The sequence below is a fragment of the Homo sapiens genome, chromosome 8 (assembly GCF_000001405.40).
Source record: "Homo sapiens chromosome 8, GRCh38.p14 Primary Assembly".
NCBI lineage: Eukaryota > Metazoa > Chordata > Mammalia > Primates > Hominidae > Homo > Homo sapiens.
The window spans coordinates 92,127,265-92,152,187 of record NC_000008.11 but is presented as its reverse complement, the minus strand read 5'-3'; the positions used below and the strand labels follow the sequence as shown (position 1 = coordinate 92,152,187).

At 39.3% G+C, this 24,923-nt stretch overlaps 1 pseudogene, besides 1 other annotated feature; it reads left to right on the top strand.

Annotated features, from left to right (window-relative positions):
* RPS26P10 (ribosomal protein S26 pseudogene 10) lies at window positions 7,729-8,169 on the top strand (annotated as a pseudogene).
* Window positions 19,971-20,515: an enhancer, noted in NCBI's record as "OCT4-NANOG hESC enhancer chr8:93143901-93144445 (GRCh37/hg19 assembly coordinates)". NCBI's record gives its function as "activates a minimal SCP1, AML or CMV promoter by ChIP-STARR-seq in primed H9 embryonic stem cells {active_cell/tissue: H9 hESC(primed)}" and the evidence as "EXISTENCE:reporter gene assay evidence [ECO:0000049][PMID:30033119]".

Sequence of the window (24,923 nt, the reverse complement as noted above, 5' to 3'; positions counted from 1 at the left end):
AGTAAAATATTTTTTTAAATGAGATAGCTCTATAACCAGGGCTTATAACTAGAATTTTGGTGAATGAGAAATAAACACAAGGATTTTGGTATATGTGGACCTGGGCAATACTAGTGCATCAATAGTGGAGGAGATACAAATGAAGACTGTAGGTTGGATTATTTTGTTGAGTCTACAGTATGCTATAAACTTACATGCTTTAAGGCTCTTCCCTGACTCTGGCTGGGCGCAGTGGCTCACGCCTGTAATCCCAGCACTTTGGGAGGCCGAGGTGGGCGGATCACCTGAGGTCGGGAGTTCGAGAACAGCCTGACTAACATGGAGAAACCCCATCTCTACTAAAAATAATACAAAAAAGGTAGCTGGGTGTGGTAGCACATGCCTGTAATCCCAGCTACTCAGGAGGCTGAGGCAAGAGAATTGCTTGAACCCAGGAGGTTCTGGTTGCGGTGAGCTGAGATCGTGCCATTACACTCCAGCCTGGGCAACAAGAGCAAAACTCCATCTAAAAAAAAAGAAGAAGAAGAAGAAAAGAGAAAGAAAAAACAAAAGAAGAAGAAAAAACGGAAAAAAAAAGCTCTTCCCTGACTCAGGGTCTTTGTATATGTTAAAATTTATAACCTCCACTGACTCCACCCCTGAAGACACACCGCACTTCACACAACTAACTCTTACTCATCTTTCAGATTCCAATTTAAATACCACTTTGGCTACATCACTCCTGACCCCCCACAAGTCCCATCAAATTAGTAACTGCAATTCATTAGGGCTCATTTGTTTGCTGCCTTTCTCCCTCACCAGTGTCTATATTCCACCAGAGATTTTTTTCCAGTTACTCAAATCAAAATCCTTGAAGTCACGCTTGCCTGCTCTCTTTCTCTCAGTTCCCATGTCCAATTATCAGCAAATTCTATTGGCTCTATCCTGAAAATGTATCCTGAATCTGCTCCCCTTTTCACCATTTTTAGCACTCTGAAGGTAGTTGAAGCCATCATCTCTGTCCCTGATTACCGCCTCCTTACTCCTACAGACCTTCTTTTACCAAGTAGCCAGAATGATCCTCTGGCAATCAAAAATCGAAAATGTTCCTCTTCACTTTCCATATCTTACAGAAGGAAGAATAGTGCTCATGCAAATGGACCCTGATACCTCTCATTCTCCTCTCCTAATCCTGCACCTTTGTTCTTTCTTTTATCACCAGCCTCCACCATGCAGCATTCCAGGCTTGCGCTGGCACTTGGCCATGACATTTGGTGCCCACACTGTCTGCAGCCCCTCTTCTTGAAGATGATCACTTTCACAGTGCTCACCCCCTCACTTCTTTCTTTCTTTCTTCCCCCTGCCCCCTCCACCCCCACCCCAGACAGAGTCTTACTCTGTTGCCCAGGCTGGAGTGCAGTGGCATGATCTCAGCTCGCTGCAACCTCCGCCTCCTGGGTTCAAGCGATTCTCCTGCCTCAGCTTCCCAAGTAGCAGGGATTACAGGCATGAGCCAGCACACCCAGCTGATTTTTTGTATTTTTAGTAGAGATGGGTTTCACCATCTTGGCAAGGCTGGTCCGGAACTCCTAACCTCAGGTGATCCGCCCACCTCAGCCTCCCATAGTGCTGGGATTACAGGCATGAGTCACCGTTGTTGGTCTTTGCTAATTGGAATGCATCCACTCCATGGGAGCAAAGTCTTATTTTTTCCCCTGCTATACTCCCAGTGCTTAGAACAAAACCTGGCTCTTGGTATACACTTAGTAAATAGATGTTGAAATGCCCTTTTTAATTGAATGAGGAAAACATCTTGTTTAGTTTAAGTAGAACTTAGGCCTCTCATTCAGAAGAGTACTTGGAACATAGTAGATCCTCAATAAATATCTTTGAATGAATGAATGGATGAAGCCAATATCAAAGTAGGACGTGAATGAGAAAGAGAGCTTTTCTCTCCATTGGGATTAACCGCCAATGATGGTCAATTATTCTAATAGTGAAAAATAGAGGAAGGCTACAAGAAAGGTGCAGAGGAAGCTAGGCAGCATTAAAGAACAAATGCAAAGAAATGAAATTATCTAGGAAGAGGAAAAGTATGCAGAGAATTTAGGAAATGGGCTGGCATTTATCGTTACAACTATCCTCAGTGTCTTCCAAACACAGCAGTAGACCCATACAAATGTATATTGTTCTCCTAAATTCTCACAGCTCTTTGTGAGATAGATGTGATGGTCCCCATTTTGCAGAGGAAAAAACAAATTCAGACAAGTTAACTAATTAAAGTAAGGTCACAAATCTAACAATCAAAATCTTTCTGACTGGAAAGTTGTTTAAAACCCAGCCTTGTTTTTTCTCTATACACAAACTTTACTCTTAAAGTTATTTTAATCCCCCACAATATTTTACACTAAATAAGCATGCACTAAACATTTGTTGAATGAATAAAAGATCTCTTCACAAAAAATGTTTTCAGGGTAGATATAAACCCAATAGGAAAAATATATATATTTAGGTTGATGGTGATTTTTAGTTTTTATTCTTTCAAAATCACAATATATTTGGTAGAAAAATAAGAAAATAGTACTTGCCAAAAGATTAATTGAGAATATGGTCTAATCATCTTCCAGAGTATTAAGCCAACCTAAACAGAAAGGTAATTTCAGCTTTGAAGAGTTGTTCTTGTGCATGCAGAATTATAAATGGCCTAATTTTGCTTATATCTCCATAATTAACAGAATAATTATTGATCAGCACAAAGCACAAAGTCTCTGGAGACATGATTTGTGTGAGCGCTTAGCTTTTTGAAAGCTTAAATCACTGTAGTCAGTATTAAAAAATGAATTGATAGTAAATGTGGTATAATTAATCCACCTATTCTATTTGCACATGAACATCTTTTCATGCTAAATATCTCATTCGTTTAGGAGAGAATACAAATGTATTACAATGACAGAATAAAAAATAAATTAGAACTTTTATTTTCCCTGCAATACCCCTTGTTTTTAATTTACTCAGACTTCTCATATATTGTGCAAGTTTCAAATGTTTCTCAACTTTTATCTGCAAATTACAGGTGCAAGGAGGAGTCTGCGTAGAGCATTCAAGCAATCCTCTGAATCCCCTAGAATGCACATGTGCTAATGCTAAGCTGTTTGCCCTCTTGCTTCTCCAGCCTCCTCAGCTCTGTTCTGTATCACAGTGGATCATTACCTGCGGCTGAATATCTCAGGCCCTGCAACAGCAGGTTTCCTGCTAGGTTTGGTCAATGGGAGGTACTGGTAGGAAGAAAGAAGAAAGAAGCTAGGATATATCTCCCCATCCCTCTCTGCCCAAGTGGCCTCAGGTGTGAAGCAGCACTTGCCACACCTTTGTGCCTCCAGCTACCTACAGACAGACCTGCCAGGTGACCTTGGCCCCTGAGCTCTGATAGCACTATTAGCTTTTGCCCTGCAGCCCAGGGGCAGTAGTGACTTCTTGCTGTTGCTAATCTCAGTTTTCTCACTATTTCCTATTGTCTTCACAGCAATTCCATTTCCTGTGTAATCAATTAAACTTCATCTGTTTTGAATATTTAAAGCAGTTTGGGTTTTCCTAATTGGACCTAACTGACACAATATACTTTCTGACTGGAATCCAGCTTGCCTTGTTTACTGCTACATCCTAGTACCTAGGAGAGTGCCAAGTGCACATTAAGTAATCAGTGAAACTGTGCTGGATGAATGAATGGAAAATATGTCCTTTATTTATTCCAATAGCCTCAGACTTCATTAAGCATCAGAATTACCTGGAGGGTTTGTTATGACAGATTACTACCCCTCCACATACCCCTTCCCCAAGTTTCTGATTTACTAGGTCTGTAATAAAGCCCCCAAATTTGCATTTCTAACAAGTTTTCAGTTAATGCTCATGTGGCTAGTATAGGAACAACACTGAGAATCAGTTTTAGAATCAGTTTTAGACCATTACCTGTCCTGCAAATCATCCAATCCAAATATCGACAATGGAGTAAACATCTACACCAATGAGTATAACACTTTATACTTGAAATAGGTAAGGTGATCTTGCAACCATCTTCAGTTAGTATAACCATGCTAAATATTTACCATGAAAGGAGGAGACATTCTAATACCTTCCTAAGCTTTTTCCAGGAATGATTACTTGTCATTTAAGTCCTTTTAAGAACTTTAAAAATATTTTTTACCTGCTCTTTTGTTTTTGGTCATATTCTGAAAAAGGAATGGTCAGCTGTCATAAAATACATTATTTAGTTGAAGATTTATGTTCTTTTATTCTCTACAAAGGGCACCAGAAAAGGAAGTTCTTTTTTTTTTTTTTTTTTTTTTGAGACGGAGTCTAGCTCTGTCACCCAAGCTGGAGTGCAGCGGTGCAATCCCGGCTCACTGAAACCTCCGCCTCCCGGATTCAAGCAATTCTCCTTCCTCAGCCTCCTGAGTAGCTGGGATTACAGGTGTGCACCACCACGCCCAGCTAATTTTTTGTATTTTAGTAGAGACGGGGTTTCACCATGTTGGTCAAAATGATCTGGATTTCTTGACCTCGTGATCCACCCACCTCAGCCTCCCAATGTGCTGGGATTACAGGCCTGAGCCCCCGAGCCTTGCCAGAAAAGGGAGTTCTATAAAATAGTATTCAGAAATTCATTGGTTCTCAGTTAAAGCAAATATCACCAATAAAGAAGACTGTTTGTGCCTCACACATTAGTATAATTTGATCAGCCAACTGTTTTGTCATGTGATAAATAATCTCAAATTAATAAAGATGGAGCATAGTGTCTATCGAGTACTAGGTTCCATGAGGAGGGTGTGATTAGGTTAATGTTGGTCTCCACACTCGACTGTAAGCTCCATAACAATGGAGTCCATATCTGTGTTGTTCTACAGTATATCCCCAAGACCCAGGACAGTGGCTGGGATGGGCAAGCATTCAATCGTCATTGGATTAAAAATTTGAATTGAAAAACAATGAATGAATCAATTACTGAATCATTAAGGACTGACTTGTTTTTTGTTATAGATTATTTTTAACAGAATTTTGTTCTCATTCATTTCTCATAGTTCATATATTTCCTTCTTCCCACAATGCCACTTGTTTTTAGGAAAATCTTTATCTATAGCAAGGATGCAATAAGTTGACAGGGCTTTAACTAACAAGCGTTGTGATAACATAAAGCTATTAAAGTAGGCTATATCTCTGACAGCTTGTGAAAGAGCACAATTGTATCATTCCCCAGACTAGATTAAGATAAAATCTAGGAGTTATCTTTGATTTCTCTCCCTCACCCTCTACAATCCATTAGAAAGCCCTATGGGTCCTGTTTTAAAATTTAGCTTAAATATGATTATTTCTCATTATCTATACTGAGCCCACCTTAGCTCAAGCCACCATGTTCTCTGACCTAGGCTTCAGTGTGTAGTTCCTGCTTCCACTTCTGCACACTTGCAGTTTTTTCTTCACATGGTAGGAAAGGTGATCTAAAAAAAAAAAGGAAACTGGATTATGGCACTTTAGAAGCCTCCTCCTCACAGACCACTTCTCTTTCACTTAGTTCAAGTTCCTAGAATTCACCAAGAGAAATTCAACCTCAGTGCCTACCTTCGCACTTATTTTCTTTGCCTGGAATAATCCTTCCCAAAATCCTTTTTTTTTTTTTTTTTTTGGCTTTTTACCCACACACTATTTAGGTCTCTGTTCAAAGTTTACCTCTGCAAAAGGTCTTCTCCAGCACCTCATCATATATATATATATATATATATATATATATATATATATATATATATATTTTTTTTTTTTTTTTTTTTTTTCCCGAGACGGAGTCTCGCTCTGTCGCCCAGGCTGGAGTGCAGTGGTGCGATCTCTGCTCATTGCAACTTCCACCTCCTGGGTTCAAGCAATTCTCCTGCTTCAGCCTCCTGAGTAGCTGGGATTACAGATGCCAGCCACCACACCTGGCTATTTTTTTTTTTTTGTATTTCTAGTAGAGACGAGGTTTCACCATGTTAGTCAGACTGGTCTCGAACTCCTGACCTCAAATGATCCGCCCACCTCGGCCTCCCAAAGCGCTGGGATTACAGGCGTGAGCCACCGTGCCCAACCTCTCCTGGGGTCTTAAAAAGCACCTAACAAAGGACACGTTCTCTATAAGTATCTGTTAAATAAATAAAACATCAAGCACAAACTAGGCTTCAATCCAACTTGACAGTAGAAGAAATTTGCTTTACCCACTTTCCCTCCCTGCCCTAAATCCCCCCTCAGTGGATTCTTGCCCACTCCCACACATACACACTGCCTACGCACTCAATGAATTTGTGTGCTGCCATGTTTCTTACATTACCATGAAAGAATGCTGTCCTATCATGCATTCACAGTGTGACATAAATGACTGAAAGTAACTTCAATAGTCATGGTTTCCAGGCTTATCTTATTTTAACAGTAATCTGAAACTAAGAAAACTAAACTCTTAAAATTTAGGACTTTATCACTATAGCATTATTTGTAATTGCCAAATAGTGGAAACAATGTAAATGTTCATATGTAGTAGATAGGTTGAATGAACTATGGTTCATACACCATATGAGGTCATGAGGTACTATGCAGTTACTTTTTTAAAAGGGGAAGAATAGGACAAGCATGGTGGCTCACGCCTATAATCCCAGAATTTTGGGAGGCTGAGGTGGGAGGGTTGTTTTAGCCCAAGAGTTTGAGACCAGCCTGGGCAACACAGTGAGGCCTTGTTTCTATGAAAAATTTAAAAATTAGCTGGGTGTACTGGTGTGTGTGCCTGTAGATCCAGCCACTTGGGAGCCGAGGTAGAAGGATCACTTGAGCCTGGGAGGTCAAGGCTGTAGTGAGCCGAGATCACACCTCTGCACTCCATCCTGAGTGACAGAACAAGACTCTGTCTCAATAAATAAACAAATAAATAGATTAATAAATAAATAAAATAAAAACGGGGAGACTGAGGAAAAGGTATGAGGAAAATTTCTGTGAGGAAAATCTGTGTGAACTGACTTGAAGTGGTTTCTAGTGTATATTGTTTAAAAATTAAATAAAAAGTACAAGAAAGAATGTATAATCTTCTACTTATTATTATTATTATTTTATTTTTATTTCTCGAGACAGGATCTTGCTCTGTCACACAGGCTGGAATTCAGTGGCACCATCTCAGCTCACTGCAGCCTTGACCTCATGGGCTCAAGCAGTCCTCCCACCTCAGCTTCCCAAGCACCTGGGACTGCAGGCATGCGCTACCACACCCAGCTAATTTTTTAGGTGTCTTGTAAAGATGAGGTCTCACTATGTTGCTCAGCTGGTCTCCTACTCCTGGGTTCAGGCAATCTTCTTGCCTCAGCCTACCAAAGTTTTGGAATTACAGGCATGAGCCACCATGCCCAGCCTCTACCTTTTGTGTAAGGAAGAAGGAAGAATTTTAAAATACTCATGCTATCTGTTTATTTTTGCAAACAAACATAAATAGGCAGAAAGGGTAAACCAGAAACTAACAAAACTGATTTCTTACATGGGGTAGTTGGGAATGAGATGAAAGCAGCAGCAGAAGGAGCAACACTTTTCTGAGTGAGAACTTTGTTTTTGCATAGTTTTGAATTTTTGAACTATTTTGATGTTTTACATATTTGAAATTTAAAATTAAATAAACAAGGATGGGAAGACAAAGTCAAACTACATACAAACAGAAAAAAAGACCCTAACTATATTATAAAGAAATAATATCTCTCTCCGGTCCGTGCCTCCAAGATGACAAAGAAAAGAAGGAACAACGGTCGTGCCAAAAAGGGCCGCCACCACGCGCAGCCTATTCGCCGCACTAACTGTGCCCGATGTGTGCCCAAGGGCAAGGCCATTAAGAAATTCGTCATTCGAAACATAGTGGAGGCCGCAGCAGTCAGGGACATTTCTGAAGCTAGCGTCTTCGATGCCTGTGTGCTTCCCAAGCTGTATGTGAAGCTACATTACTGCGTGAGTTGTGCAGTTCACCGCAAAATAGTCAGGAATCGATCTCGTGAAGCCCGCAAGGACCGAACACCCCCACCCCGATTTAGACCTGCGGGTGCTGCCCCACGTCCCCCATCAAAGCCCATGTAAGGAGCTGAGTTCTTAAAGACTGAAGACAGACTATTCTCTGGAGAAAAATAAAATGGAAATTGTACTTAAAAAAAAAAAAAAGAAAAAAAAAAGAAACAATATAACCACTTTGAAGGAAAGAGGAAAAAAAACCAAGTAGCTTTTGAACATAGTACTTTAATTATAAATCATTTTAAAAGCAAAGGAAATTTCCAACACATCTTGAACTCTACCTAGAAAGTTTGTTTCTTGCTTCCAGAGCAGTGTGGACATAGTGATTCTGAATCTATGTTGTGTGTATCATAGAATTGACCAAATGAGTATGTTAATATCCTTGGGAGATAGAGTTCTTACTGTGAGAGAAGAAAAATACAAACACATAATGGTAGAAAATAAGAAAGAACCCTTTGCTGCTAATTTGGAATTAGAGTTATCATTAACTCATGATTTTATTCATACACATGCTCATCTACACACATATATTTATATGGTGTTCCAAAAATCTTAATGATTACATACAAAGACACACAGACACAAACACACACACACACAAATACACATATGTAGACAGAGTGACTTGGAGGAGGGAAAGGAACATTATTTTACATATTTTATACATGCACATACACATACACATAGATTTATGGTTCATAAGCAATGCCTTTTTTTTCCAATTCTGCCTACTGAAAAGGCCTAGAAGAAATGGTACCTTGGTAGCAATGAAAACATCCAGGGCTCATATGTTGGCTTATAAATACCATTTTTCACTAGAAAAAGTCACACTTCTTTGAAAAATGGTTGATTTCACGCTGGGGCAGGAAAACTACAAGATTAACCTTAAAAAATCTTGTTATACAAAAATGTGAGGAAGTACTCTAAAGAAAGACAGGGACATGTAATCTCAAAGGGACATAAGGATTCATTGAAAGAGGATCTCACTGAACAAATCTGGGACAATTTTACATCAAAATAATAACAATAATAGATTGTAAGGCATCAAATAAGGTGAATTATGTTAGTTCATACTGACAGTATATTAGGGAAAAGGAAAAGCTCTTCCTTATAATAGAATGACAAATAATAAGTGTAGAAAGAATAAGAGAATTTTTAAAATCACCATCGTATGACCATCAGGCAAGAATTATCAATGAACTGTGAAACAACGCATAACATGCAATTTATGGTGCTGGATTGGATGCTGAGCTGGAGAGAAGAAAGTGTTAAAAGGACATTTTAGATGCTGGGCACAGTGGCTCATGCCTGTAATCCCAGCACTTTGGGAAGCTGAGGCGGCCGGATCATGAGGTCAGGAGTTCGAGACCAGCCTAAGATGGTGAAACCCCGTATCTACTAAAAATACAAAAATTGGCCCCACGTGGTGGTGTACACCTGTGATCCCAGCTACTCAGGAGGCTGAGGCAGGAGAATCACTTGAACCCAGGAGGCGGAGGTTGCAGTAAGCCAAGATTGCACAGTTGCACTCCAGCCTGGGTGACAGAGTGAGACTCCATCTCAAAAAAAAAAGAAAAGAAAAAAAAAGGACATTTTGGGAGCAGGTAGCAAAATTTAAACATGAAAACCGTATTAAATAATACTATTTTGTCAACGATAAATATCTTAAGGGTAACCATAATTTTGTGGTTATATAAGAGAATATCCTTTTTCTGAAAAGATTCTAGCTAAAATAAAGGTTTGTGATGTGGACAAAGCATCTAAAATAGTTCTGCTTAAAAAAAAAAAAAAAAAACCCTAGATAGATAGATGTGGCAAAATGTTAGTAACTACTGAATCTGAGTGAAGGGTATACAAAATTTTTTTTAAAATACAGTTCTTGCAACTCTTCTATGAAATCAAAATTATTTCAAATAAAATAAATTATTTCCAAATAATTAGTTCTTAAAAATTAGCACTTCAGGCGCTATATGGTGAAGTAGAACTCTGATAGCTATTATCTGGTTATCAGCATCGGAAGATATATGATGGAGTATTAATTCATTCAATTATGCATTCATTCCATATGCTATTGCAGGAAGACACAAAATAAACTAAAAATAAATATATAAATAACAAGTTTAATGGAGAAAAATAATGAGGGGATACAGAAGAGGGGGTTGAGAGGTGGTTATAGTTTAAATGGGATAGTCACAGGGGACCTGACTATTAAATAGTCTTCAGTAAGTAAAGACCTGAAAAATGTTGAAGAAGTGGAGGAGGTGCTCCTGTAATAGGAGAACATTCCAGGAAGGGAAAATACAGTGGCGTTCTGGGAAATGCTTAACAACGAGCTCTTCATGGGATGAGGAGACCTAATTTTTAGATTTTGCCAGTTTCCTTGGTGTAAATGCTCCCACTTTGGCTGATTTCCAGCTACCACTGGTTTACAACCAGCTAGCACAATTCCCGACAATTTAACAATTCACCCACAAGTCAGTAGGATTGCACCCCGAAACACCACTGAGAGAATAAGCAGTAGATGCAGGAGCCCTGAGGCAGAAGGTGCATACTGTGCCTATCAAAGTAACAAGAGACCCAACCGTGTAGGGCCTGTAGGTCTGGTAAGGACTTTGACTTTTATTCCAAGTGAGCTTGGATGCCATTGGAAAAGTTTGATCAGGAAAGAGACATGATCTAACATTTACTTTGATGAGATCACTGGGAATGCTGTCTTGAAAACTTTTAGGCAAGGAGGGGTAGAAACAGGGAAACAGAAGGCTACTATAATAACAAAAGAGAAAGATGGTAGTGCTTACAACTAGAATCCTAGCAGTAAAGGTAGCTAGAAGTAAAGTAATTCAGGGTATACAGTTGTCCCTTGGTGTCCATGGGGGATTGGTTCCAGGACCCATGCAGATAACTAAATTCACAGACACTCAAGTCCCCGATATAATATGATGTAGTATTTGCATATAATCTACATATATTCTCCCTTATGTTTTAAATCATCTCTAGATTACCTCATAATACTTAATGCAATGTAAATAGTTGTTATACTGTATTATTTTTATTTGTATTTTTTAAATTTGTGTTGTATTTATTATTTTTTCTGAAATTTTTTAATCTGTGATTGGTTGAATCTGCAATGCAGTACCCACAGATATGGAGGGCTGACTGCATTTTGGGGGTTAAAGTTCACTGGATCTGATGGTGGGTGAAATGGGGCATGAGGGAAAAAAGAGAAGTCAAAGATGACTGAAAAACTGATTTACTAAAAGGATGGAGTGGACATTAACAGAGAAAAGGAAGACGGTGAAAGGAACAAGTTTGAGGGAGTTTTTTGTCCTCTGTTTTGAGACAGAGTCTCCCTCTGTCGTCCAGGCTGCAGTGCAGTGGCGCAATCTCGGCTCACTGCAACCTCTGCCTCCCGGGTTCAAGCAATTCTCCTGCCTCAGCCTCCCAAGTCAGCTGGATCTACAGGCGCACACCACCACGCCCAGCTAATTTTTGTATTTTTAGTAGAGACGGGGTTTCACCATATTGGTTAGGCTGGTCTTGAACTCCTGACCTCGTGATCCACCCGCCTCGGCCTCCTCAAGTGCTGGGATTACAGGCACGAGCCACTGCACCTGGCCTGAGGGAGTTTTATATGACATACATTGAATTTGAGATCGGAATGGAGAAGTCCAGTAAACATTATCAGAATACGTACAGAGCAGCAGTAGGCTAGAAGGAGTGAGCATAGAATAATGCAGAGGTAGCTCTGCTCATCCAGGCTGTAGCTGCATCCAGTCCACTGATTCCATTGATTTGTTCTCTATTCCCCTTCTCCTAGCGTATAGAGTTCTCCAAATTTTAATACAGTGTTTAAAAATGGAAATTAATGCAATCAACTCTTTCTAAGCACATACAAAAATGGAAAGTTTAAAATGAATGTCCCCCTCTGCACAACCCAATTTTCTGAGGACATTGGAAAGAAAATACTTGGGCAATTTATATTTTCTGCTATCTGAAATTGAGTGCAGAAAATAAAGATGTCAAATAGAAATCAACTACTACCACCACACAAACACACACAAAAATTCTTTTTCTCTGCCGGGCGCAGTGGTTCACTCCTGTAATCCCAGCACTTTGGGAGCCCAAGGTGGGCAGATCATGAGGTCAGGAGTTTGAGTCTAGCCTGACCAACATGGTGAAACCCCGTCTCCACTAAAAAAAAAAATACAAAAATTAGCCAGGCGTGGTGGCACTTGCCTGTAATCCCAGCTACTCAGGAGGCTGAGGCAGGAGAATCGCTTGAAACCTGGGAGACAGAGGTTACAGTGAGCAGAGATTGAGCCACTGCACTCCAAGAGTCCGTCTCAAAAAAAAAAAATTCTTTTTCTGCACCATATTAGTACCTCAAATATTGTGAAACTTTTGGTTGTAAATAGCATTATATATATTTTTTAAATTAGTGAATATGGTGAAAGTACAGGTAGCAAAATGTGTGCATGTTTGGGTCAAGTACAAAGACATTTTGTAGTGAAATTGCTGAATACGTATTTTAATGCAGAATATGTTCTTTTTTCACTGTTAGACATTTTTTTTAAAAAGACTCCTTACTTCCCCAAGTAGAACGGCTTGAGAGATGATCAGCCGTGACTAGGGAGGAAAGAATGCCAAATTTCCAGTGTGCGCGTGCACATTTCTTTTGCTCATAATTAATAGCCCCTGTGCTTGCTAAGTTTTTGGAAAGCAGCTCAAAGCCTACCCAGGTAATGCCTTCTGACAACGTTTTAAAGATCAGTTATGTCATATGGCTGCCTTTTTGAAAAAAAAAGTCATAATGCATAGCTGTGCCATATGGCATCTCTGAAGAATCAGCCGGATTGGACAGACATTCATTGGATAAGGTCCCACAGCACTTGGAAAAGAATGTAGTCCTGTTGCCAAAATGTGGCCTTTGTTAATCTCCTAACTATTATTGTGCAGAAACCAATTCATCTGTATTAATTATAAACAAATTTTAATTACTTCAGTAAAAGCCCATTATACCAATATCTGATGCCAAACAAGCTGTATTAACTCTTTGTAAGTCTCCAAAGCAAACACGAGGTGTTAGAACGTAGGTGTTTTATACGAGGCAGGAATTTCTCTAGCTGAGTGTAAAAATGCAGTTCTGACATTTAGTTTTCCAGTTCTTTTAAGAGATCCCATGATGCCTTTGCTTTTTGCAAACGATATCAAAAGGCAGCTGATGCATATAAGTTGTTAAAGGCAGATTACTCCTAATGTTTGAGAGTGTTTAGCCGCACTTTATATTCTTACGCTTAAGATTTAAAAGTTAAGGGGGAAAAAAAGTCCATATTGTAAAGCAATGATTTGCAGTGACACAAAACAACCTGTCAAAATGTGACCTGATTCTGGTACAACATTCATCAACTAGTCATTTCTGATAGTGCTCTGGACAATGTGAGACCAAACGTATCCTGTGCATCAAAGCATATCTTAAAAAAAAAACATGAAAAACCAAATCACTAGTGTGTTTTATGGCAGCAGCTTGGCCAAGAAAGCTGGCTGGTCTTTCCCGCACAGAAACTATCTGGTTTGCAGATGACACATGGTGGTTACAGTGCGCGCAGCCGTTGGGGTTGGACGGGATCCAGCGAGAGGGCTCATCTGTGTGCAGCAGCGTTGGAAGCGCCTTTGAATTCAGTTTCACTAATGTGTAGTTCTATTTTATTAGGCCAACCATCAAAAGTTTCTCTTCCTCCTGGAAATCATTCCTTTTGGAATTCATATCACTCCTTGGACCTAAAAAGTTAAACAGTTTTAAATAAATAGAACCACATCCTGCCTTATTCTTCCATTAGACTTTGAAGTTTTTCATGAAAACCTCACATTATTTTTCCCTCATTTTATACAACAAAATAATTTATTTTTGTAACCGTAATGGGTAAATTCTAGAAAGTACTCTCTTCTGTAAATTTCTGTTGGTGGATACATGGCAAATAGCTTGAAACTATGTCATAAACATAATATGGGTATAGAGCTGGCTGAAAATAGGGAAAGGGATGAACATTTAGGTAAAATCAATTATCTCAAGGTTTGGGGGGTTTTTATGTGTACAAGTTAAATATATTATGTAATTGAAGATTTCCTTCTACTCAAGTTTTCCTTCTACTCAAAAAGCCATAATTGTAAATATGTCATATCCTTATAAAGTTTATATTTCAACTATAAAGTCATAGAATTTAAAATTTTGGAGCTGAAAACACCATAGAAGTTTTCCAGGCTATCTCCCTCACTTTACGTATGAGAAAACTAAGGTGCAAAGTAAAATGCCTTATCCAAAGACACAGGGCTAGATAATGGCAAAACAGGAACATATTTCTTATCTCCTCATCTAATATTACTTAATTCTCTGACACTGTATCATTTCAGTTAGTATTGATCAACAGATAATGGATTTACCTTGATCAATAAAAACAAAGTAAAATAATGACCACAAGCTGCAGAGCTTCTATATGTGTAAATTAATTGCACGTATTTTTCAGCCACAATAGGGATTGATTTCATTCATCTGGTAAAAGTTGAGTGTTAACATACCTGGCTACATAGTACCTGATTTGGGAGGATGTTATGGAGGGGGTGAATGGAGTTTGGGAGGGGAGGAGGACAAGATATTATATGTCCTAGGGCATAGGACTCTCCAGCAAGTTTTTTATTCCAAAGAGCTACTTTGCTTCTTTCCAAAATCAAATAAAGAAAAGATAATCTTGAGCTAAAACTCACACATATAAATTAGCCTTAGTGAATCGTTTTCATAATTACCAAAATAAAAAAATTATTGGACACAGGTGAATAACTAAAGGAAAGGCAGCTTTCAGAGGACATATGTGCTCAGTCTGTAGATCTTGCCCCATGTCATAGCACCCCCTGAATCCTGGCTAAAGCAGAACATGCTACCTGAAGATTTTTGTCAGTCACTCATCAATAACTGGGGTAGCTTAGCTAGGAGAGCCTCATTTACTCAAAGCAAATATCCTATTACCTCCCTTCCTTGTGTCAGATCATCGAAAATTAGGCCTATTTGTAGAAATCATAAACATAATTAAAATAACATTATTTTCTAAATAGCACCTTTTGAAAATCTAAGTCTCTAAGGGATTCATAAATATCATCTCCCCTAATCTTTATAGCATTTCTTTCTAGTTAAAAACTGAGATGACAAGGGTAAAATACTGACCATGCCCATGGTATTCGAAATACCAAAACAATGAAATCATATTAATACTTAACAACACATAGTCTATGTGATTCTGTACTTGAGATGACTGACTGACTTACTCAGAACAGCATAGGCTGGCTCCTTGAAAGGTTTTTCCCTTTTTCCTACCTAAGGAAGGCGTTCTATCTGTTCTGCAGAAGGCAATATTGAAGAATAGTGACAGGAGATGAAAGTGAAGTGGGGCTAAGGTAAACAGGGTGGGAGTGAAGACAGGGAGATGTCAGGGAAGGGGGCGTACAGGATACAGCACCAAAGAAATTCTAAAATATGTATGTCTCTATGCCTTTCTCTCTCTTTTTATTTGTTTTCCAGTTTGCATCTGAGTTGAGATGCAACTAAGGAGGCACTTTTGACTACAGGGAACTAAGATGAGCCATTGTAGGCTCCAAGGAGTAATAGAAAAGAAAGGAGAAATATATCATATGCTATGATTTGGATGTGATTTGTTCATGAAAAAACTCATGTTGAAATTTGATCCCCAGTGTGGCAGTGTCAGGAGGTGGGGTCTAGTGTGAGGTGCTAGGGTCATGGGGGCAGCTTCCTCATGAGTAGATTAATGCCCTCCCACTGGGGCGAGTGAGGGCTCCCTCTACTGGGAATGGATTAGTTCCCTTTAGCACAGATTCTCTGTCTGTGTGGCTTCCTCAGTTTCTCTCTCTCTTGCTTCCTCTCTCACTATGTGATCTCTTCATACACCCCAGCTCCCCTTCCACTTTCCACCATGAGTTGAAGCAGTGTGAGGTCCTCACCAGATGCCCAATCTTGAACATTCCAGCCACCAGAATCATGAGCCAAATAAATCTCTTTTCTTCATAAGGGGCCCAACCTCAGATATTTTGTTACAGCAACACTAAATAGACTCAGACATCATGGCACCAAGGAGTTAAATGACTTACTTTTTGGCCAGGCTCAGTGGCTCATGCCTGTAATCTCAGCACTTTGGGAGGTGGAGGCAGGCAGATCACCTGGGTCAGGAGTTAGAGACCAGCCCAGCCAACATGGTGAAACCCCATCTCTACTAAAAATGCAAAAAAAAAAATTAGCTGGGTGTGGTGGCACATGCCTGTAATCCCAGCTACTCGGGAAGCTGAGGTGGGAGAATTGCTGAACTGGGGAGGCAGAGGTTGCAGCAAGCCAAGATGACGCCACTGCATTCCAGCCTGGGTGACAGAGAGAGACTATGCACCCACCCCCACCAAAAAGAAATAAATAAAAAAAAAATCACTTACTTTTTGCCCTTTGGAATTGACTTTGGTTTTGGTTTTATGCTTACAGGGTTAGTGACAAATGACCTAATGCATAGGGATGAAGTCCCCCAAGGGACTAGCATTCATATCTCCTGGCTAAAATCTCTCAAGACCTAACCATGGCTGTAAGAAGCTGTATGCACAGGGGGTATATCAACTTTGCCACTATTGATATTTGGGGTTGGATAGCTTTTTTAAAGTCAGGGGCTCTCCTGTATATCGTAGGATGCATGGCAGCATCCCTGGCCTCTACCTACCAGATAGTCAATAACATATCCCTCCCCAGCTGTAACAAATGAAGATGTCTCCAGACATTGCCAAATGATCCTTGAGAGGCAAAATCAAGAACCACAGATATAAAGATATAGCCCAGGAAAGTGGTACGCCTAACAGCAATAAGTCTGATCATCATTCTCTGTCTTGGCCCTCCCCATTGTTTTCAGTGATGACCTCCTGTTCCCTCATTCCATTTTGCTCCATAATAAAGGGTCCATGGTTAGTCACCATCATTTCTCAGAGTTGTTGCTGGCAATTGAAGTTCATTTTCTTTTAATTGCTGACCTCCTCGCTGGACCATATTGCCTTTTATAGTAGAGGCAGTTGCCTATGTAGGGAGAGTATGAAGAAAAGGAAATGAAACAAAAAGCTTGGGAGATTGAAGCCGGAGAACTGCTTGAGCCCAGAGGTGGAGGCTGCAGTGAGCGGTGATTGTGCCACTGCACTCCAGCCTAGATGATCGAGCAAGACTCTGTCTCAAAAAAACAAAAAAAAGCAAAAAAAAAAAAAAAAAAAAAAAGAAATAAAAGAGAGAAAGACAAAAAGAAAAGGCAAAAAGTGGATTAAAAGCTTATCCTGTGTCAATAGTAAAATGATCCATATTCGAAACGGAAAATCAAGGACAAAATATGGGCACTGCGGAGGCAGCTGGAAACAACTGAAAGGTGATAATACAGGGAGATAGGGAGATGGCAGACTGCCTCTCAACTGGAAGGTAAACAGAGGACATGCGGAAGCCAAGATTAAAGACAGGACATTTGCCAAAAGCAGGCCCCTAAATTTCATTCCTTAAAAGGACAGTCTCCACTGAAACATATCTTTCCCATCCCACAAGAAAAGTGTTCATTTTAACCAATTTGCATCTGAATCGTGTGAAAACCAAGTTGATAGAAAAATGTTCCTTATGCCTTGACAATAAATTCAGTCTCATTTCACATCTTCTACACAATATCCCCTTCCCCCACCCACCATATCCCTCCTCTTGGGTCTGTCCCACATGGTGTCTTACAATTGGGCCTTGGGAAGTTGAGAGTTACAGCCAAAAGCAGCAAGAAAATGCCATGAAACTGGCAGTATGCGTTGTGGAAGGAGCCAGAGCATCTGCTTTCGAGCAGGGCTATGAAGCAGAGCCACAGGAGGAAGAAAGGCTATTAGGCCACCAGCAGCCAAGGGGGAAAAGCCACAGGAACCCAGATTAAAAGTCTGAAAAGACTTGGAACTCTGAGTAAAGGATCAGTGGAAAGTGGTAGTAAAGCCAGGGTTGGCATATGGAACCACTTGAGGGGTGCTGATAGTCAACCCAATAAAATCCTACACAGAGCCTGCTGTAAGCATGGCTAGAATGAGTAAAGCAGGGGCCTCAAAGCACCTGCCTGGGAACTATGGCAAGAACCAACAGAGGGCCCAGAGTCCGCAGAGCAAACAGCATAAATTGCCTTGGATGCCAATTTATATAAGATATAGAGCTTCCTCTTCATGCCAAGCCATTTTCTGAAATGTCCTCTGATCCTTTCAATAGGTCATTTTCAGAGGTGTGCTCTGCCTCTTTTCCTGTTTGTACTCAACATCCTCCCCACCCCTCACCCCCGTCATAAAGTACTTTTAATACAACTCACTAATCCTAAAAGCAACTTTGCCTTGTCCTATAATATTTTTCACAGGCCCCACTCAGATTTCTCAATCCATATGTGTTAGTGAAAAGAGAGCTTCCAAGACTCAGTAAATGCAAGTGAAATGGAGTCATTATTGGTGGTGTGCGCTTTCTGCTTGGTGTTGGTTAAATCACCTTTATTGGCCTATCGCTGGAGTATATATAGACTGGCTAATGTTCTCTAAATCCTGGTTTCTGATAACTCTTACTTCTTCTTCTAACTTCAGTGGCTGATTCTCTAATGTTGCAAACTGATGGAGGAGAGGAAATTCTACAGTTCCTAATTTGTAGGATTACAAGTATTTTTTCTGTCTCCACACCCACACTTGCAATGCCTCATTTATGTGATCTCAACTTCCCAATTCAACAAAATGTAACAAACAGTTTTTGTCTCAGAATTGTGTCCAGATTTGCATGACCCCTCTGTTCTGTCCAGTTGTTTTAGGTGACTCTTTCCACAAGAATGCAGAAAGATAGCAGTAGTAGTGGAAAGCAGCACTGTGGTCTTCTGAAAAGCAGTATTCATGCAGAGGAGGAATGGCTACCTTGTGTTCTAGCTGTATATACCATTGGAAATGGGGCAAATATAGAGTATGACAAATAATGTCTTTCTAGCTGTGTTAAGGTAATTTCTGTTTCGTGAAACAAAATATAGCTATGCTTTGAGTTGAAGGAAGTCTTTTTTCTCCATGATAATGTGTGTTTTTATTGCTTTCTATAAGTTAGAGGAGACTTGATTGAAGTTGCTATTCAGCTACTTTTCTAAAGTGGATATCTCTGTGATATATATTTTAAATATGTTGCCTCTTTTAATATGTTTAAAAACCTGAAGAGGCAGGCATGATTATCTTTGTAACTGTTTCAGGCATCCCAAGGTCCATATATCTCCTTCTTTTGTTAACAGAATTCTGATTTTCTTTGGTGACTAGCTTTCTCCCTTTGGATGTAGCCTCAGATTGGGCATAAGCCCTAATAAAAGGGTTCTACCTTATCTCTAGTCAACAGATAGACATGAAACTTAAGCTAGATCTATGCATTCTCCAGAACCTGCATCTTAAATGGGGTAATATGACGCTAGAAAACGCCACTGAAGCTGGTCCATTACTGCAGCAATGACCTGCTGACACTCAATTGTTTACTATGATCTGTACCTCCAATGCTGACCTAACACCTGTCATTGTTTGAGAGTAGTTCCCCAGCTCTCTCTTCAATTCTTTAACACATAGGATTATTTTCATATAAGTAAATTTCTCAAGATGAAACCAGGACCCAGACCTGGTTGCCTTGTAATATAGTTGCTCACAGCCTTGGGAGCCCACCCTTTGCATCAGTGTGGTGTGGATGTGAGACATGGAGTCAAGGAGATTATTTTGGAGCTTTAAGATTTAATGACTACCCTGCTGCGTTTTGGACTTGCATGTGGGCTGTAGCCCCTTTGTTTTCACTATTTCTCCCTTTTAGAATGGGTGTATTTACCCAGTGCTTGTACTCCCATTGTATCTTGGAAGTAACTAACTTGTTTTTAATTGTGCAGGCATATAGACAGAAGGGACTTTTCTCAGATAAGACTTTGGACTATGGACTTTTGAGTTAATGCTAAAATGAGTTAAGAGTTGGGGGACTGTTGAGACGGGATGATTGTGTTTTGCAATGTGAGAACAACATGAGATTTGGGAGGGGCCAGAGACCGAACGATATAGTTTGGATATGGGTCCCGGCCCAAGGCCCAAATCTCAGGTTGAATTGTAATTCCCAATGTTGGTGGAGGGGCCTGCTGGGAGGTGATGGGATCATGGGGGTGGATTTTCCCCTTCCTATTCTTGTGATAATGAGTGAGATCTGGTTGTTTAAAAGTGTAGCACCTCCCCCTTAACTCTCTTCCTCCTGCTCTAGACATGTAAAAATGTGCCTGCTTTCCTTTCATCTTCTGCCATGATTGTAAGTTTCCTGAGGCCTCCCCAGCCATGCTTCCTGTACAGCCTGTGGAATCGTGAGCCAATTAAATCTCTTTTCTTTATAAATTACCCAGTCTCAAGTAGTTGTTTATAGTAATGTAGGAACGGACTAATACAATACTTTATTGGCACTCCTTCTATAGTAAGGTAGAAACTGGTGGCCAAAATTGTAGCTTCATTGCTTAGAAAATTGGGTTACAATCTGACTAGTATTAGTAGAATATGTTTCAAAACACTCGAATTTGCATATATCCTTTCAACTCCCAGATTACTACCTTAATGCCCAGAGGTTGGTTCTTTCTTTCTGATTTTGTCTTATTGTACCACATCCTATAGATGAAGGAGAAGTTAACTCAAAGAATTATTTGGTCTCAAACCAAATAATATCATTGATACAATTAAATAATTTAGAAATAGCAACCACCCATTTCAGTAAAGGGGAAAGAGAATATATCATTCATTAATTTAATAGAAAGAAAAAACATGTGTTTTCAATTTCTATGGTATTGCTTGAATTGTGGGAAATGGTGGGATAAATATTATCTATTTTTTTTCAGGAGACTTTGAGTCTTCCCATTAACTTTAACTGGATATGTGAGATTATGGATAAATCATTCACTTCCTTCACAAAAATTGGTGCATAAGCAATTCCATTTCCTTTTAAAACTTCAAGGATTTATCAAAGTTATTGAAAAATATATGACTTTTAAAAATGCAGAAGCTGCGAAGTCTTCAAAGGCTACCTAAAGTACGGAGAGCTCATATTTCATAATTTACACTATTGCAGCATTTTTCTGTCTCTGGTGATGAACAGCAATGCCTAAAATCAAGGGCAACATCTCAACTAAACACATATTTGAATGAGAAAATGTATTTTGGGCTTATTATTTCTATTCAGTATTTCATTTGGCAATTTATTCAGGAAATATTTGTTTTTCTTCCCTAAAAAGCAACACCTAATATTAGTTGCCTTGGGAGGCAAATCTCACAAAGAGTAACAATTTTGTGGCATAATAGGTAATTGCTATTGTGTTTAATGCTTTGCAATGATTTTTCTCTATCCTTTTCTGAGAAACAATCTGTGTCACCATATGTAGGTAATTTAGGGATGATGATCTTAGTACTAATAATGTGTATTTTACTTTCGCATACATTATTACATTTGATCTTGATAGTAACTATGAAGGGTCTGCAAAGTAGATGGAAGTTATCTCCATTTTTTACATGAAAAACTGAAGTTCAAAATAAAGCATCTTGTGCAATGGCACACATGTAGTAATAGAGACAGATCTCAAGCTCACCCTGACTATAACCCCAAGATTCTTTCAACAGCATCAGGGGTCAGCAAATGTTTTCTGTCAAGGGCCAGAGAGTAAATATTTTAAACTTTGAGATTCGTATGTTCTGTCACAACCACTTAAATCTGCCCTTGCACCTCAAAATTGGGCATAGGCAATATGTAAATTAATGAGAATGGCTATGTTCCAATAACACTTTATTTACAAAAATAGGCACAAGCTGCAGTTGACTGACTCCTGAACTGCATCCTAACTGCATCCTAACTGCGTTAGTCTAGATTTAACTAACACGAATTGCTTATCACATATGAAGTATTGTGTTGAATACTTTTGTTGTAAGTTAAATTCCTGTACTCTCTTGAATGACAAAGCACAGGAGAATTGTCACTAGTAGCAGAGAAAGGAATGTGGAACCTCTCTTGGACCAGTGGCTGACCAGGCTTTCAGGAACCACCATTGTAACTGGACTATAAGAAGAGCCTTCAGTTGAAACCAGTGGTTCTTGGGTGGGGAGAGGGGGGAGGGATAGCATTAGGAGATAAACCTAAAGTAAATGACGAGTTAATGGGTGCAGCACACCAACATGGCACATGTATACATATGTAACAAACCTGCACTTTGCGCACATGTACCCTAGAACTTAAAGTATAATTTAAAAAAAAAAGAAAAGAAAAGAAACCAGTGGTTCTTAAAATTTTTGGAGTCACAGACCCCTACGAGAATCTAATGATGATCATAGCCTCTCTCACCAGAAAAACACACTTAAACTTACACTTCCTAAATATTGTACACAAATTCTAGGAGTTCATGGCCTTTCAGCCTATTCAAAAGTATACTAGTTGTCAAAGAGCCCTGGTTTAAGAGTTTCACGTTAAAAATTGCAGTTTTTTGTTGTGTTATTGTAGTTGCTGAATTGTGGTTGTACTCCAGTGAATAGTTTTTGTGAACAAATAAATTCTTTTATATGAATCTATTTTAATTATCTATTCCTATAGTACAAGGAGAGGTTGGTGATGGTGGTTAATCTTTCTTAACAAATGTGTAGACTATAGATCTTGATAACTTTGTATTCAAAGTTCCTCATACTTGTAGTGATTTTTCTTCCTGTCTGTTATTGTGACTAAAAATAATTCTCTGCAGCCTTGTGCACACACCCCGCATTGTATGCCTGGCAAGGATTTCCTTTGGCTTGTTGCTAAGACCATTAATTATAGCTAATAATAATGAGGGCAATAGTGATGAAGATAATAACGTGGTTGTTATGTTGAAGGACTCTAGAGTCAAACTGAGTTCAAATCTTAGCGCTCCCACGTACTGGCTACGTGAATTTGGGCAAATCAGATAAACACTTTGAACCTTAGTTTCTTCATCTGTTAAGTGAGGATAATAGCTGATATCTTATAATTAGTGCTTACCATTTAACAGATTCTGCACCGAGCACTTTTAAAATTATCTCCTATAATCATCACAACTACCACTGAGGGGTTATCCTGATTACATAAATGAAGAAACTAAGGCACAGAGTATTACATTACTGTCCAAGGTCACATAACTACCAACAGGTAGAGTTAGTCCTTGAACCCATGTAGTTTAGAACAAAGTCTCTGCTCTTCATGATCATACTTCAATAACTCACTATTTTTTGTCCTGAAGATTTATTAAATAATACATGTAAATATGAATCATAGTACCTGATACAAACTAAGACATACTGTTTCCACATAGATATTTGCAGTTTGTATCTACTGACTTGGTCTTTCCAGGAGTTCTGTTTGGCAGAATAACCTATTTCACGTTGCTAAGTTTCAGATTAACCTGGCAGCTGTCTAAGTTTTCCAGGACACAGGCCTAGTTCGCATCATTTGAAGACTAAAATAATCAGTGGCATTTTTTTTGCATAAAAGCATAATTTCAAAGGATTCAGAACAACCACCACAAGAAACATGCATAACAAATAAAGGAGACTCCCAAGGGAGAGTCTCAGTTCTGGTCACTGAAGCAGTGACTCATATTGGATAGGATTGTTTCTGCAGTTTGCTGATTGCCAAACAGCAGCCAGCCCATTATGAAAGGTGGGCACAAGAGGCATTTCAGCAGACCCACGTTAACTATGGAGCCTATTGATTCCCTGCCCAGTGAGTCATTATGCTCAGCATTTGAGGTGGGAGGAAATCCTATGGAATAGCAATGGCACTGTGGTAATTAAAACAGATGAGCATGTTTCTCCCTGGTTATTGGTTTAAAGGTGGTCTATTGTAGGTTTTGTTTCTTTGATCTCTTTTAGAGTAATCCTCTATTTCAAATATTAGCTTTTGTTAATGTCTAGTAACTGACAAAACAAAACAAAAGTAATCCAAAATCAACAACAAACAACTGAGGCCAGTGTTCTAAGTGCAAAGCAAAATTATCAGATTTAGTATCTTCAATATTCTACAAGGGTGCTATTTCCAAACCACCCTCATAATCTCGTGGTTGATCAAAACATATTGTAAATTTATTACTGGCTGTACTGAAGTTCTAACTGTGACTCAACCACTCACATATTGATGCTGCCTTCTGGCAAAGAAAAGAGAGTCAAATTCCGGAAGGCACAGACAAAAGGCCAAAAGTTTGGATGAATTGTAGAGTGGATCAAAACACTAAGATAATCATAGATTGCCAAAAAATTTCTTGGCAAATGCTTCCAAGCCATGCATGGCTGGATGAGTGAAATAATTCCCATTCGTGCCTCAGACCTCAGGCTAAACATCAGTTCATCACCCCCCATCTAGTCTGGGCCCCTTGGTCTACTTTCCCATTCTGTACTTGTTATTCATGGCATTTATCACAGTTTGCAACCATGCATTTGTCAAAAGGATTGTTTGTTAATATCTGTCTTTCCTTCTAAATTAGGAGCTGGTAAACTGTGGCCCATGGGCCGAATCAGGCCTGCCACTTGTTTTTATATGGCCTGCAAACTAAGAATGGTTTTTACATAAGTAAAAGGTTGAAAAAAATCAAAAGAATGACATTTTGTAGCAAGTAAAAATTACGTGAAATTCAAATTTCAGTGCCCATAAATAAAGTTTTGTTAGAACACGGCTGCACTTACCCATTTATGCATTGTCTGTGGCTACTTGTGTGCTACCATGACAGAGTTGAGTAGCTGCAACAGAGATTATATGACGTCAAAGCCAAAAGTATTTACTATCTGCCTCTTTACAGAAAAAA